A 17,064-nucleotide genomic window follows, 5' to 3' on the forward strand; every position below is an offset into this window, starting at 1 on the left:
TCAGAATCACAGAGTCCACTGAGCATTGTCAACTAGGGTTAGATCTGAGTCAAGCTGATGCGCAAGGGTTGGAGCCCCAAGGGCGGGGCAGAGCCATGCAGCAGCATCTAGGAAGCCGCAGTGCTTCTCTGCATCAGACAAGTGGCAGTAATGTGGAGGTCAACACAAAAAGACCAGCATGAGGATCCAGGGACAGCAAGGAGCTGGCAGGAGTGAGGTGGTGCGGTGACCAGGCTGGGCTCAGGGAAGGCTTCCGTCCCAGTGGACGAAGCCCAGAGCCAAGACACAGCCTGGCCATCGCTGTGGAGTTCACATGGGCTTCTGGGGCACCCAGGGGTCCTCAAACACCAGGAGGTCCACCACAGACGAGGGCTCTCCTTGGATCAGGGCAGAACAGAGCCAGTCTACAGAAAGAAACTGACACCAGAAAGACGAAAGGGCTGACACCAGGTTAGTGGGGAAGACAAAACATCTAGGCATGAAACTAGAGAATCATTTGGAGCAGAGTGAATTAAACGCCAAAATGTGTGGAGCAGATGAAGACGGAAGAGGAGAGACCAGTGGGTGCCAATTTGTCCAAAAAGCCTTCAGATCACTCCCTTCATGTCAAGGTTTCTATTTTTTGCCTTGGGGAGGAGACATGATTATGACATTTCTACAATCACTGGAAAATAACATCGCTAAAATTATATTTCTTGGAGGCTTTGGGGTTTTTTTTTCCAAGATGCACATCCTGTGGCTGGGTCCTGCCCAGCCGGCCCCATGTGGCCTGAATTCTTTTGTGCAAGGCCCATGGCTTCCTCCCAAGGGAAGCTCCGTGTCCCTTTCTTGGAAAGCAGACTTGGCTTGTTTGGCAGGATCATGGCCAACTGTCTGGAGGAGGAGGAGAAGGAAGAGGAGGAGGAGGAGGAAGAAGACTTCTCCTAAGTTCCTGACCCCCACCCCATAGCTACCTGCTCAGTACCTGGGTAGGCAGGCACTGAAGATCAGCACAAAAGATGAGCCCCTGACTCTTCCAGGGCCAGGCCGGCTCAGGGACCCCAAAGCCTTTTTTCTTCCAACAGCACAAATGAGAAGCCACATTGCAGTATCAACCTTGAGAATTTCAAATACCTTTGAAACAGGTAAGTTCTGTGAGGGAACATTCCTTTTTCTCTCTTTTCACACCATCTTCTTTTACCTTAAAACAATTTAAGAATGCACTGCACATTTAAGAATGCTTTTTCTCAGAAGGAGGAAAATTAATTTAAAAATGAAGGGCAGAAGTTGGGAAAAATCTAAAGAGCATCCCCAAAGTCACAGGAAAATGCTACATTTTTTAATCTACACCTCATCACCTTGGCACTTTCTGGAATGTGATGAAATTATTTCTTAGATTTGCAAATAGGCATGACCATTTTGAATTTTGAGTATAGTAATTTATTTTTATATAATATATATGTATGTGTGTACAAATGAATGGATAGGTAGATAAATACATGGATAGGTAGAAGACAGATAGATAGATAGATAGATAGATAGATAGATAGATAGATGATAGATAGATAGATAGATAGAAGAGATAGATAATATCGAATAGTAATACACGCGTTTCCCCCACTCCTAAAAGACCTAGGCATAATCTGAGACTTTGGGCCCAGCCTGCAGCAGATAGGCCATGGGCACTCAGCCGGCTGTCTAAGCAGCAAGCCAGCTTTCTCTCCCAACAGTGGCTGTCCTTCCCGCCCTCTCCCCTGCTGCCTGCCTCTGTCCACTGTTTTGAGTCCAGACCAAGCCTTTCCAAGCGATCACAGCCCTTTCAGCCCATTGAGACCGTCAGGCTTTTCTCCTTGCTTCTCCATTCCTTTGGGGACTTAAGAAAATCCCCCAGGGATTGGTCTAACACCACCCATCCTTACCACAGCCAGTAAGCCCACACCATGCTTTTCTGCTGTCTCCAAGATTGATATCCATTCCATAATTTTTCAGTAACTTTTTCCTACCTGGCTACTTTCTCCGCACAAATGCCCAGGAATTCCACAGTTCCTCCTGTTTGTTTAGAGGTTTAAGCCTGGTGCCCCTGAAACCAGACTGACAGCTCTTGACTGTCTCCCAGGATGGGGGGTTGGGGGAGGTGGCAGTGAACCCTCATGAAGGCTGAAGTCCTGAGAGCCCCAGCTGACACCTCAGGGTTCCTGAGGAAGATGTGCAGTCCTCCTCCTCCACCAACACTACACGTTTCATACACAAAAACATTCACGGTGTACACGTGCATGTGCTTATTCATTCATCAGACATTCATGAAGGACTTAGTACGTGCTGGGTATAAAGAGAGAAGAAGGTAAAAATGCTCATGTGCCCACATAATAGTGATTGAGAAAGAGCGTGATCTTAGCCAAGGCATCAGCAAGAAAACACTCAAAAAATAACACTCTTAAGCCCCATAATATAGCTGCTCCTTCAGCTCTGAATTCAGAGAAGCCTGCTCTCACCTCCCCTCCAACTGGTCCCACCTCCACCACCTGCCCATGAGCTGCCTCTCCATCCCTGGCCCCAGGGCCTGCCCAGTTACCTCCTGTCTGCCCAGCCCAACAAGTTCAGGAGGCTGCTATCTTCTTGAGGCTCAAGAGGACCTCAGGACTCTCAGGACCTCTCTTTTCCACAGCCAGGCTGGCCTCTGTGTTCTCTTTTATTCCCTGCTAGGGGCACTGGTTCTCTGCCTACATCCTCTCCTCCTAGGCTCTTCCACCCACACCAGCACTTGAAGCTGCCCTCCTCGACACCAGCTTTTCTCTACCCTTCTCTCTCTACCCTTCCTCCATGAATATGAACATTTTAAGAACTGCATGCTAACCATTCCAGGGAAACAGAGATTAGCAAAATCCAAAGATTCCAGAACTGTACACAGTTCTCAGCCTGCAATCCCTGATCTTCATGTTTCTATCACAAAGGGAAGACCCAAGGGGCTGTTCCTGACCTGAAGCTGTGATTTGTTTGCTGTTCTACAGTAATTTTTAAAAACAAGTTGCCAGCATTTAGAAAGTGAGAGTTCACATTGAAAATGTGAATTTTGAGCTTCTCTTGAAAAATTGCCAACTCTGGGCACACTGGGCCCAAGCTCCCATCCTGGGGTCTCAGACCAGCATCTCTACCCTTCCCCATGTGATATAGTTTGGCTGTGTCCCCACCCAAATCTCACCTTGAATTGTAGCTCCCATAATTCTTATGTGTTACGGGAGGGACCCAATGGGAGATAATTGAATCGTGGGGGTGGTTTCCCCCATACTGTTCTCATGGTAGTAAGTAAGTCTCATAAGATCTGATGGTTTTGTAAGGGGAAAACCCTTGCACTTGATTCCCATTCTCTTGTCTGCCACCATGGAAGACATGCCTTTCGCCTTCCGCCATGATTGTGAAGCCTCCCCAGCCACGTGGAACTGTGGGTCCACTAAACCTCTTTTCCTTTATAAATTATCAGTCTCGGGTATATCAGCAGCATGAAAACGGAGTAATACACCATGGGAGGCTGATTTGAATTAAATTCGTTTTCTCCAGCTGCCAGGGCAGAGACCAATGCATAGGAGCAGGACAGACCAACCCAACATGAGGAAAAACGTCTTAACAGTTAGAGAGGTCTGCACTGGGATGGGCTGCCTTGGCAGACAATGAGTTCTCTTCTCAGTGGAGGTTTCTAGGACCTTGAAGTGCATGTTGCTGTAAGACAGATGCCCCAGGAATCAGGTGGAAGAGACAACACTGAGGGCTGGAGAGCTCAAGGCAGACCCCAGAGCAGGGAGAATCCCTTCTGGATCTAAACCAGCAGATCATAATGCCTATTTGATGGTGGAGTAGATTAAGAAAGAGTTTGATTTAGCTTAACTTGCACAGCCAACATGCTCCCCTAACTCAGTTGACTGATGCTGAGTCAAAGCTGTGCAGTGAGGGGAGGTCGGGCTGGGTCCAGTAATGAAGGAAGGCCAGCTGCTCCTCCCAGCCCCGATGGGTGGCAAAACAAGAGTTAACTCCCTTCCTAAGGAGCAACTCCCTATTGCAACTGGAGGACTGGAGGTGCCCTTTGCAAGCAGCAGAATCAAAGTGGAAAAATTACAAGGCAACTTTTCTGGTTTCAACTTGTCCCCTGCAGAAAGGAAATAGATTTTAATATAAGATCTAAGAGGCAACATATTTAATAAACTGCAAAAAAATCTACTTTTGGCTGGATGCTCGCATGTTGAGCTTTAGGATGAAAGGAGATTTTTTTTCCTTGACAAAAAAAAAGTTAGACATGGATCCAAAACAAGGCTGGAATCCACCTCCCACCATCCCACTGAAATGCTCTCTAATCAGTTGGGAGCAGTCACCCTAACCCCATCACAGATACCACACAAAAGACAAGATGAAAGGCTTTTCCTTCTCCCTCTTGACCCAAATTGGAAAGTTTATTGCAAAAAAACTCTTTGTGCAAGCCAAGCAATATACAGTCTCTCCCGGATGGGACGGCGCTGAGACACTGACAAACCCCATGCCCCAAGCTGTGGGGCCTCGAGCTGACTGTGCAGGGAGTCAGCCCCACAGGTCAGCAATGGAAATATTTCATCGTGTCCAACCCCACCCCCAAGTGGAGAAGTATTTCATTGTCCTTCTCCTTTGCCCAGCTTGAATCTAAAGTCTAGACAGTTTTCAGATAACAACCTTCAGAGACAGCAAAGGGGAATGTGTATGCCTCCCAAAGATAAGCAAATGCTTGACTCTCTCATAAGTTTTCTGGAAAGCTCTCAGAGGGCCCCTCTGATGAGCAACTGAAGGGAGAGTGTCTGGAAATATATGCCAAGATGCTGGGACACCTTTTGCTTATCCCTGGAGCCCTCACCTATTTCCTAGAGATACAGCAGAAAGAGGTCATCCCCTTCCCAAAACTCATTCAGAAATAAATGCAAAGGCAGTCTATGGGAATGGGGGGGCCTTGTACCGTGTCCACCTCAGTCTCTCATTAACTTGTTTTTTTCTTTTTGAGACAGAGTCACTCTGAGTCACCCAGGCTGGAGTGCACTGGTGCAATCACGGCTCACTGCACCCTCGAACTTCTGGTCTCAAGCTATGCTCCTGCCTTAGTTCCCCAAGTAGCTGGGACTACAGGTACACACCACCATGCCTGGCTACTTTTTAAAAATTTTTGTAGAAACAGAGTCTTGCTGTCTTGCTCTGGCTGGTCTTGAACTCCTGGGCTCAAGCGATCCTCCCACCTCTGCCTTCCAAAGAACTGGGATTAGAGGCATGAGCCACAGCACCCAGCCTCCGATTAACTCATGTAGTGGATAATTATCAAATGTCTACCACTTAGGCATCTCACTGGACACAGAAGACACAACTGTGAACAAGTCCAAGAAAGACCCTGTTCTCAGGAAACTGAAATTCCTGCTAGAAGGTCTGGCAAACCTTCGTTCAGAGATATGACAAAATCAAGGGTATGTTTTTGTTTGTTTGTTTGTTTGTTTGTTGAAACGGCATCTCACTCTGTCACCCAAGCTAGAGTGCAGTGGTGCAATCTCGGCTCACTGCAACCTCTGCCTCCCAGGTTCACGCGATTCTCCTGCTTCAGCCTCCCAAGTAACTGAGACTACAGGCATGCACCACCATGCCCAGCTACTTTTTGTATTTTTAGTAGAGACGGGGTTTTGCCATGTTGGCCAGGCTGGTCTCGAACTCCTTACCTCAGGTCATCCACCCGCCTCGGCCTCCCAAGTGCTAGGACTGCAGGTGTAAGCCACTGCACCTGGCCTGTGTTAGTCAGTTTTGCATTGCTGTGAAGGAATGTGTGAGGCTGGGTAATTTATAAAGAAAAGTTTATTTTGGTTTCTGGTTCTGCAGGTTGTGCAAGAAGCATGGTGCTGGCATCTGCTCCTGGTTGAGGCCTCAGGAAGCTTCCAGTCATGGCAGGAGGCAAAGAGGGAGCCGGCATGTGCAGAGATCACATGGAAAGAGAGGAAGGAAAAAAGAGAGGAGGAGATATGAACTAATAGAGCGAGTACTCACTCCACCAAGGGAATGGCACCAAGCCATACATACATGAGGGATCCGCCCCCATGAACCAACCACCTCTCACTAGGCCCACCTCCAACATCGGGGATCACATTTCAACATGAGATTTGGAGGGGACACACATCCAAACCACATCATGCCCAACCTTGAAATACAGTGAATCTCACTTTATTGCTTTTACTCTCAAGCAACCAAATCCTTTACCCTCTTTCCCACGTCCGCTATAATCTAGGGTCATGAGAACGCCTTATCTTCATTCCAGATCACAAGAGTGTCCCATTCCACTAAACCACAGGCACTCCCATGGCAGAAACATCCTCACTCTCAAAACTTCCTTAATATGAAGCACGGTTCTAGGCACAAAACAGGCACACAGAAAATACTTGTGTGGTTATTGATTGAGCAAAGAATTTTACAAACAGTAAAAGGGGTACTGTATGCCTGACAGCTCAAGGGTTGTTGTAAATGCAAACTTCATCTTTCTGCCTTTGGGGAAAGGAGTACTGATGCTGGTTTAACTCTGTTCCCTTTAAGAGTGTCTGGTTGAAGCTGAAACTCACACCATCAACTTCTGATAAAGCAACAGAAATTTGACTGGGTTAGGCCTGACTCCAAAGCAGCTTTTAAGATGGTTATGTTGCTGCCACTTTTCTCACACAAGGAGCTGGAAATTCTACCAAGCCTCTGATCTGACACCAGAGCCTAGTTCTAAACGTTCCCTGGGTCTGCCCCAATGGTATACACAAGCCCTGGGAAGAGGAAGAAACAGCTTATGATTGCTGTGTCTTCCCCGACGCTGGAAAGAATGGTGTTCCTTGATCCCAGTGCTTCCATGACCCTGATGAAAGCCTCAGCCCTGGATCCCAGAGTGATCGCCTAGAGCAAATGCTTGAGTGAGATTTCAGCTCTTCTCTTGCCAAGATGTGGCTTTTCAAGGCTGGGCTGCCAATGAAAATGTCAACAATGCTCAGATCAAGAGGAAAATGCTCATTTCACCCTCAGAGGGCATCCAACATTCCAGCAGATCAGTGGTGATCCAAGGTGCCCTTTGTTGATCAGGGCAGAGAATACATTTCCTTTCCCAAGACAGAGCAGTCCAGTGTGGTTAGTAAATGGGCCAGCACCAAAGAGGCTGCATGCAGAGTGGAAGCTGAGGCAGGTGATGCCCTCCTTCCTCCACAGAGAGGCTTAGATCCCTTAGAAGAGGCAACTGGTCTTGGGGACATATTCTGAGTCTCTCCTGAAGCAATGGAAATGGGATCCAGCTTTGGAATCTGATCCCCTCCCTTGCAAATGAAACTTGGTTCCAAGGAGCAACCAACTGAACAAATCCCAAATGCCAGACATTGAAACAATGGCAGAATTAGCTAGAGGAGAGCTAATGTCCCTATGAATCTAGCTAGCCCTAAGCCCAAGCCTCACAAGTCAAAATATAAATGAATTATCTAAAACTAAGAGACCTGATTGCTGAATCTTGATTAAGATGAGCATTCAAGATGAGGATACTGAATGTGTTGAAATAGCCAAGGGAGGGCTGGGCTTGTTTCAACTAAGGTGTCTACGTGCCTTATTAACATTACTAACAAAGGAGAAAAAAAGATGTTAAAAAGTAGCAATGATGCAATAACTGGCTTTGAGTGATTCTAGAAAAGGAGCAGGCATTTGCTTTGAAATGAACTCTCAGAATTAGCTTGTTCTTCCACAGGATCATAGACTCGTCTAGTTTTGTGTTTTCCAGACTGTGCTGTGAGGAGAACAAGCAATTCCTGAGAGATCTCAGGCTCCATCCTCCTACCCTGCCTGAGCTGAAGAAGCTCTTTGTGCCCCTTCTGAATATGATTGGGTTTCTGAGTAAGAAGTTGTTGGGAGAAGTCGTTCTGCTGCTTTGTATCGGATAGGACTCTCAGTTGTGAAAGACAAAGACCCTGATTAACACAAAATTCATTTAGGCAAAAGTAGTGTCACACATAAACTGAAAAGTTAAAAGCTGTGAGCTTCAAGCACAGCCAGATACAGTGGCTTCTTTGATGTCAGTGGGGCTGAGGGAGTCTCTGTTTCCTACCTTGCCTCCTTCTATGTCAGCTTTATTCAGGCAACCTTCCTTCCCATGCGGTGGCAAGATGACCATCCGGCGGGTTCAGGCTTCCAGCCGGTCATCTCAGAAGCCCAGTGGTTGTCCTTCCCGATAGCTCTCTATCAATCAGGATTAGGTTAAGCTGCCAAGTAAAAGAAAACTCAAAGTGACAACAGTTTAAACAAGCTAGAAGTTCATTCTGTCTTACATAAACAAAATCCCAAAGTAAGCAGTCCAGGACTGTGTAGTTCCTCCACAAACATACATACGCATGCATGTATCTTTATGATAGAATGAAGGAGAATAGTGCTACAATGAACATACGCATGCATGTATCTTTATGATAGAATGATTTATATTCCTCTGGGTATATACCCAGTAATGGGATTGTTTGGTCAAATAGTATTTCTGTTTCTAGATCTTTGAGGAATTGTCACAGTGTTTTCCACAATGGTTAATTAATGGTTAAATTAATTAATTTACATTCCCACCATCAGTGTAAAAGTGTTCCTATTTCTCTGCAACTTCACCAGCATCTGTTGTTTCTAGACTTTTTAATAGTTGCCATTCTGACTGGCATGAGATGGTATCTCACTGTGGTTTTGATTTGCATTTCTCTAATGATCAGTGATGTTGAGCTTTTTTTCATATGTTTTTTGGCTGCATGAATGTCTTCCTTTGAGAAGTGTCTGTTCATGTCTTTTATCCACTTCTTAAAGGAAAACCCCCGTCTCTTAAAAAGAAAAAAAAAATCCTTGGTCAAATGTAATCATATGCCCACACCTAGTTGTAAGGGAGGCTAGAAGTGTAATCTTTGTTCCTGGAAGATATAAACCCAGCTAAAAGTCAAGAGTTCTGTTACTAAGGGAGATGGAGAAAATGGATTTTGGAGGGAGACTAATAGCATCTCATCTGCCATGTTAAACTAATAGTTCCAACAAAAGTTTTCTGGGTTTTTTTGTTTGTTTGTTTTTGTTTTTGAGATGGAGTCTCACTCTGTTGCCCAGGCTGGAGTGCAGTGGCGTGATCTCTGCTCACTGCAACCTCCATCTCCTGGGTTCAAGTGATTCTCCTGCCTCAGTCTCCCAAGTAGCTGGGAATACAGGTGTGCGCCACCACACCTGGCTAATTTTTGTATTTTTAGTAGAGATGGGGTTTCACCATGTTGGTCATGCTGGTCTCAAACCCCTGACCTCAGGTGATCCACCTGCCTTGGCCTCCCAAAGTGCTGGGATTACAGGCGTGAGCCACCACACCTGGCCAAAAGTTCCAGAATTTCAGACTTTAATCATATGTCCATTCCTGAACCAATTCTTCTGGCCAGATAGAGGAAATACAAAGATTTATCAGGTCTGATTCTTCTGGCCATGCCTAATCCTAGACAGAAAGGATGCTGGGCAGATAGAAACAGCAGAACACTCTCACTCCAGTGTAATCTCTTAATGTTTTTATTTTTCAGCTGCAGAAACTGAGGTCCCAAAAGGTGAAATGACTTGCAATGGGTACATAGTGATTACTTCTGGGGCACAAGATCAAGACTCCACTTTATTGCTCTCCACTATCAGTCAAATATATTTCATAGAAATGTGAAATGAAAGGTCTGTAATTTACACCATATTTGGCTGAACACAAGGATTTCCAATAAATTACTCCTAATTATTTTAAACCTTTGTGAAAATTACACCTAACTTTTTAAGCTCGTGCACAGTTACATAAATAAAGAGAAAAATAAGATGCCTTGCTTTCTTCCTTTGATGAATCCTAATTAGCTTATACCTGTGTTTTCAACCACCGTGAGCAGAAGTGTCAACATCTTGGAACACTCTCTTCCTCCTTCACCCCTCTATCCCTCCTTTCATGAAGCTGCTTGCCAAGCACTGGTAGACAAAGGTGAGAGAGGGTCCTTTCCCTCAAAGGGCTTACATTCTTAAAGGAAAAACAAACAGGTAAACAGACAACGCCCTGGTAGGAGGCCAGGCACTATGGCTCATGCCTGTAATCCTAGCACTTTGGGAGGCCAAGGCAGGTGGATCACTTGAACCCAGGAGTTCAAGACCAGCCTGGGCAACATGGTGAAATCCCATCACTACAAAAAAAAATTAGCTGGGTGCAGTGGCACACCTGTAATCCCAGCTACTCAGGAGGCTGAGGTGGGAGGACTGCTTGAGCCTGGGGAGGTCAAGGCTGCAGTGAGCCAAGATCACACCACTGCATTCCAGCATGGGTAACAGAATGAGACCCTGTCTCAAAAAATAAATAAAATAAAACAAGGTAAATAGGTTTGCATGCTTAGGACGTCAAGAACAGAGTGGGGGATCTCACTGTCAAAGCTTCACAGGGAGGCAATACTTGAAAAGCCAGCGCAGGCAGGAAAGAGCTTGGGCATAGAGATCAGAATATGCAAACACACATATGCATAGGAGGAAACTACACGGAGTTCAGTATGGCTGGAGCTAGACTGGGAAGGGCATGGAGGAAGATAGGGCAATGAAGAGAACAACATGTCAGATCTGGAAGGTCTTTGTATACCTTGCAAGGCGATAGCTGGACAGTACCATTGCTTACCTAGACCAGTACCATTGCTTACCTAGACCAGTACCATTGCTTACCTAGACCTGAGGAGACAGAATGGCTTCAATTAGTTATCAACCTAAAATTAAAGTTAAAATAAATGCTAAGTGTCAGGGGCAGTGGCTCATGCCTGTAATCCCAGCACTTTGGGAGGCTGAGACAGGAGGATCACTTGAGGTCAGGAGTTCAAGACCAGCCTGGCCAACATGTGAAACTCCGTCTCTACTACAAATACAAAAATTAGCCAGGCATGGTGGCACATGCCTGTAATCCCAGCTACCTGGGTGGCTGAGGCAGAATTGCTAGAACCCATGAGGTGGAGGCTGCAGTGAGCCAAGATTGCACCACTGCACTCCAGCCTGGGCGACAGAGTGAGACTCCATCTCAAAAAATAGTACATAAATAAATAAATGAATAAATAAATGCTAAGTTCCCAGGCAAGTTCCAAAGCAAAGGAATCCTGTCAATTTATTCTGTGATTGTCTTCCCTGAAGTCTGGTTTTGCCAAAAGCACTTGGGGGTGTGGGGGAGAGGGAAGATGGAGGAAGAAAAGTCAAGTTGATCCTCATTATTCACAGATTATATGTTTGCAAATTCTCCTACTCACTAAAATTTCCTTGTACTCCGCAAGTCAACGCTCATATATTGGTGTTCATGTTCATTCAAGGAAACCTGCACAACAGTGAGAAATTCAAGCTGCCCAATGCCCACATTCCCAGGTGTTGAATAAGACAGCATTCTGCCTTCTTGTTTCAGCTCTTACTCTGTAAATAAATGCTCTTTTTGAAGTCATTCTAGTGCCACGTTTTCACATTTTTGTGCATTTTTTTGGTGATTTCACTGTTGCCCCCAAGTGTAGGGCTGAAGTACTTTCTAACACTACTAAATGCAAGAAAACTGTGATTTGCCTTATGGAGAAAATACATGTATTAGATAAGCTTTGATCACGCATGAGTTCCATGTTAATATTCAATGGTCATTAAACAATTACATATTAAATAAGGCAACTTTAAACAGAAACACATATAAAACAAAAGTTACATACTGATTGGTTGATGAAAACGCTGCGACCAGAAGCTCGTAGGAACTTAACCCTGTATTTCTTCCAGGAGCAGTGGTTCAGTGTTCACTAATTCAGTGTCCACTGTGACTTAATAGAGCATAACTACTTCAAATAACAAGAACTATATATCAAGTGCCATTTTACTCTTTGATGTGTTTGATTTTGAAAGAAAAGTTATTCAATAAAATTAATATAAGGAAAGATTGCATGGGTTTTTTAAGTTGTCTTTAAACATGCAGCCTGAATCTGGATTCGAGGTTCATGGAAGGTGCTACATTTTGGGGAAAGTGGAGGAAGGCCTAAAAGGTTCTGTTCCTCTAAAAATATACCTCTCAGAGTTCATGACCAGCCTGGACAACATAACAAGCCCCTGTATCTACAAAAAAGTTTTTTTAAAAATTAGCCAGGCATGGTGGTGCACACCTGTAGTCCTAGCTACTCCCAAGTCTGAGGTGGGAGAATCACTTGAGCCCAGGAGTTCGAGGTTACACTGAGCTATGATTGTACCACTGCACTCTAGCCTGGATGACAGAGTGAGACCTTGTCTCTAAAGGTAAAAAAATAAATAAACAAATATATAAACCTCTCAGTTCCTATCCCACCTATCCTGACTTCTTTCTGTCTACCTTGAGGAAAGGAAAATAAACAAGTTCCCAGAAAAAGCATCAGCAAACTTCTAAATGAATATAACCAACTCCTCTCAGGAGATGGAACAGGCTCAGTGATCACGTGTCTTGGGTTTCCTGGCATGCTCCTGGTTTCACATATTCTGTGCCATTTCTGCTGTGAGCTTACTTGTATCAGACCATGTGTCCTGACTTGGAATCCAAAAATACAGAGATGCAGTCTTTAACCACTTCTATGCACAACAACCTCCAAGTCCCTGGAATGACATGGTGCCTGTCTTACCTCCCAAACCTATGCAGGCCAAATCCTAGGTCCCCCACCCCCATCCCATGCAGGTCAAGTCCCAGCCTCCCCCCATCTCATGCAGGTCAAGCCCCAGTCCTCCCCCAACCCAGACACAAAGAAACACACTGAGTAACTGTCACCTCCCCATTCATAGCTGATGGTGCTCCCAGCTTGTCCCCATAACCCACCCACATGTGCCCACACCACAGGACACCACGGGTCTCCCTCCACTGTGCCAGAGAGGAACACAAAGCAGCAGAGACTGACGCTGAACCCGAGCTCTCACCTGGACCCCCCGACAGCCTCTGCACCAACCTTACTCAGCCTTCCACATCCAGCCTTGTGACAAAAGGCACATGCAGAAACTCTGCCTTGACAACCTTGCCAGTGGGTCATCCCAGTTCAGGTAGAGCTGCCAGGGGTGCCAGACTGAAAGGGCAGACAGCAGGAGTGAAGTGGACAGAGGCAGAAAGGAAGGGGACTGGCACCTGTCGAGCACTTGGCATCGGGCCAGGCGCTGTGTGGCACTTGATGTATCAGATGTCACTTAATCCCTGCCTGAGGATAATCCTCACTGCACACAGAAGGAAACTGAAACTTAAAAGAGTGAATAACTCACCCAGGTCACGGCTATTAAATCCAGAAGAAGAGTCAAACCCCACGTTCACTCGATGCCAATCTCAAGTGATTTCCACCTCATCAGGTCACTTCTGTTTGCTTCCACAGAAAAGTCAGGACCAGGAACTTTGTGAGAATTCAGCAACAGGGATTATGAAAGTGCTTTAAGAATGAAGTTTGCACAAACACAAAAGGTTATTATTAAAAGAAACCCCAAGGGATCGCCCACATTTTCTCAGTGTCCCAGAATCTGGTTGTATCAAATGCTGCTGCCTACAGGGGAAGACTGGGCTTGACTGTGCTTTTGGTGTTCCAGGAATTCAACTTCTGGGTGTAACTCTATTTAGAGGCAGAATGTGTGAGAAGCCCCTGACATCCACACCTGCGCTCGTCATCCTTGCTTAGTACAGGGGCACAGGACCTTCAAACGGAAGCCTTGATCTTACTGGGTCTCCAATTTCATTCTGACCCCTGGGTGCCCAGCCAGCAAGGACCAAGACCTCCTGGTCTTGGTGCCTGGCACCTGGTTCTGGTGCAAGCCCTGGAATCTGTGCTCCTCTCAGTTAGCAAGCCTTTTCCTAACCCTCCCAGAGTGCACACGACAAACTTCAGCCTGGGTTTTCTGCTTTGGGCTCCAGTTCTCCTCACTGATTGAATCTTTTCAATTAAAAATCTCAGAATTTAGCTAAGTATATGAAACCGATGAGTGGAGCCAAGGACCCTCCAAGAGCAGCCTGCCCCCTTGTGAACTGTCTGAAAGATAAATGGAGGAGTCTCTTCTGGAATGAAGAGTAATCGTCAGTGTGGACAGCACCATGCCTCTAAACTAAGACCCCACTCCTCAAGCTTTAGAATGCAGTCATTCGGATTAGGGTTCGGAGCTCCACCATCCACTAGCTGTGTGACCGGGGCAACTTGTTTAATCTTGAGAAATATCATTTTTCTCCTCTGAGAAACTGGAATCATCACCTCTGCCTGACAATACTGTTGGATGGATTATGTGAAATCATGAATATAAAACATGTGGTTCAATGTCCGCACACATAGAAGGTCCTCAATAAATAGAAGTTTAGATAGGTAGGTAGGTAGGTAGGTAGGCAGGTAGGTAGATAGATAAAGAGAGAGATTAGAGATAGGGTCTCACTCTGTCACCCAGGCTGGAGTGCAGTGGCACCATCCATAGCTCACTGCAGCCTTGAACTCCTGGGCTCAAGTGATCCTCCTGCCTCAGCCTCCCCAGTGACTGAAACCACAGGTGAATGCCATGACACCTGGCTAATTTTAAAATTTTCTGTAGAGACATAGTCTTGCTATGCTGCCCAGGCTGGTCTCGAACTCCTGAGTTCAAGCGATCCCCCTATCTCAGCCTCTCTAATTATTGGAATTACAGGCGTGAGCCATTGTGCCCAGCCCAAACAGCAGACATTGATTTAAATGACAGGAGAATGAAGACGAATCGTATTCTCTTGACCACTGCCTGCATGAAGATGTCTCTGACTCCCCCGATGGGAAAAACCATGGCCCCTCCCTTCTGCCTTCCTCAGCACATTGTCAGGTCCTCATTTGTGTAATTTTCATGTCCTGACTTGTATTTGAGCTATCTAAATAATCACATAATAACAACACTTTCACTTGTTGAACTCCTATTTATATGTGTATACATTACTTCTCATTATCTCCTATTCAACTGAGGAAACAGATCAGAGAAGTCAAGTAACTTGCCTCACACACAAAGCTCCTAAGCGGTAGACCTCAACCTGGAACTCAAGTATTCTGATCCCAAAGCCCATAGTTTTCCCATGAGCTCTGCTGTTTCTTTTCTTTCCTGTTAGAGTGTGAGTTCCTGGACAGGTCCAGTGGCTCATGCCTGTAATCCCAGCACTCTGGGAGGTCAAGGTGGGTAGATCACCTGAGGTCAGGAGTTCAAGACCAGCCTGTCCAAGATGGTGAAACCCCATCTCTACTAAAAATACCAAAATTAGCTGGGTGTGATGGCACACCTGTAATGCCAACTACTCAGGAGGCTGGGGCAGGAGAATCACTTGAACCTAGGAGGCAGAGGCTGTAGTGAGCCAAGATCACGTCACTGCACTCCAGCCTATGCAACAGAGCAAGACTCTGTTTAAAAAAAAAAAAAAAAAAAAAAAAAGAACCTGAGTTCCTTAAGGATAAGGTATGTGTTCCTTGTTTTGTATCTCAAAACCAGTGTAAGCTGGGATTTTTTAATACCTTACTTTCACTGCACTTTTTTGATGCTCTTCCAAGCATTATAAATACATCTATTTATGTAGATTCCAGTTTCTGACCTATATCATTTTCTTGCTCTCTAAAAAACTTCTTTTAACAGTTTTTTTTTTTTTTTTTTGAGACGGAGTCTTGCTTTGTCACCAAGGCTGGAGTGCAGTGGCGCGACATCAGCTCACTGCAACCTCCATCTCCCAGGTTCAGATGGTTCTCCTGCCTCAGTCTCCCAAGTAGCTGGGATTACAGGCGCATGCCACTGTGCCTGGCTAATTTTTGCATTTTTAGTAGAGACGGGGTCATGTTGGCCAGGCTGGTCTCGAACTCCTGACCTCAAGTGATCCGCCTGCCAAGGCCTCCCAAATTGCTGGGATTACAGGCGTGAGCGACCACGCCCGGCCATCTTTTAACATTTTTTCCAAGGTAGAGCCACAGTAAAAAAATTCCCTGGATTTTTTTTTTTTTTTTTTTGGTCTGAGAAAGTTATTATTTCTTTTTTACTCTTGAAGGATAATTTTGCAGGATTCTAGGTGCAGAATTCTAGGTTAGTAGAGTTTTTTCTCTCAACACTTTAAATATTTTATTACACTCTCTTCTTGCTTGCATGGAGGAGAAATCAGATGTAATTCTTATCTTTGTTTCTCTCTAGGTAAAATGTCTTCTCTCTGGCTTTTTCAGGATTTTTTTCTTTATCTTTGATTTTTTGTAGTTTGAATATAATAATGTGCCTAGGTGTAGGGATTTTTTGGATTTATCCTGCTGGTGTTTTCAGAAATTCCTGGATCTGACATTAATATGGAGAAATTATCAGTTATTATTGCTTCAAATACAGTTATGCATTGCTTAACAATAGGGATGCATTCTGAGATATGCACTGTTTGATGATTTCGTCATTGTGTGAATATCATCGAGTGTACTTGTACAAATCTAGATGGAATGTCCTACTACACATCTAGGCTACAGAGCATGGCATATTGCTCCTAGGCTACAAACCTGTACGGCATGTTACATTACTGAATTCTGTAGGCAACTGGAACACAATGGTATTTGTGAATCTAAACATATCTAAACATAGAGGTTGGGCGAGGTGGCTCACGCCTGTAATCCCAGCACTTTGGGAGGCCAATGCAGGCAGATCACTTGAGGTCAGGAGTTTGAGATCAGCCTGGCCAACATGGTGAAAACTCGTCTTTACTAAAAATACAAAAATTAGCTGGGTGTGGTGGCAGGCACCTGTAATTCCAGCTACACGGGAGGCTGATGCAGGAGAATCACATGAACCCAGGAGGTTGCAGTGGAGCCAAGATCATGCCACTAGGCCAAGATCTTGCCTGGGCGACAGAGCAAGACTCCATCTCAAAAAAATAAATAAATAAACAAACATATCCAAACATAGAAAAGGTAATACATTGCACTACAACACTATGACAGCTACCACATCACAAGCAATAGGAGTTTTTTGGCTCCATTAAAATCTTACAGGACCACCATCTTACATGAGGTCTCTCATTGACCAAAATATCAATGTATTGATTCCAGTTTCCGACCTGTATCATTGTCTTGCTCT

The 17,064-nt window shown here is 45.2% G+C and overlaps 2 long non-coding RNA genes across 2 annotated transcripts; one reads left to right on the plus strand and one right to left on the minus strand.

The window, feature by feature from the left end:
* The first annotated feature begins 945 nt into the window (after positions 1 to 945).
* Positions 946 to 5,903, plus strand: LOC105379391 (uncharacterized). Its single transcript, XR_949705.2, has 3 exons — positions 946 to 1,124; positions 5,321 to 5,444; positions 5,848 to 5,903. It is a non-coding gene; the product is annotated as an uncharacterized LOC105379391 (long non-coding RNA).
* On the minus strand, positions 5,806 to 8,424 carry LOC124901938 (uncharacterized). The gene is made up of 2 exons (XR_007060897.1): positions 8,081 to 8,424; positions 5,806 to 5,900 (listed from the first exon to the last, which is right to left on the minus strand). It is a non-coding gene; the product is annotated as an uncharacterized LOC124901938 (long non-coding RNA).
* Positions 8,425 to 17,064: the final 8,640 nt, after the last annotated feature.

The sequence above is a fragment of the Homo sapiens genome, chromosome 8 (assembly GCF_000001405.40).
Source record: "Homo sapiens chromosome 8, GRCh38.p14 Primary Assembly".
NCBI classification, from domain to species: Eukaryota; Metazoa; Chordata; class Mammalia; order Primates; family Hominidae; genus Homo; species Homo sapiens.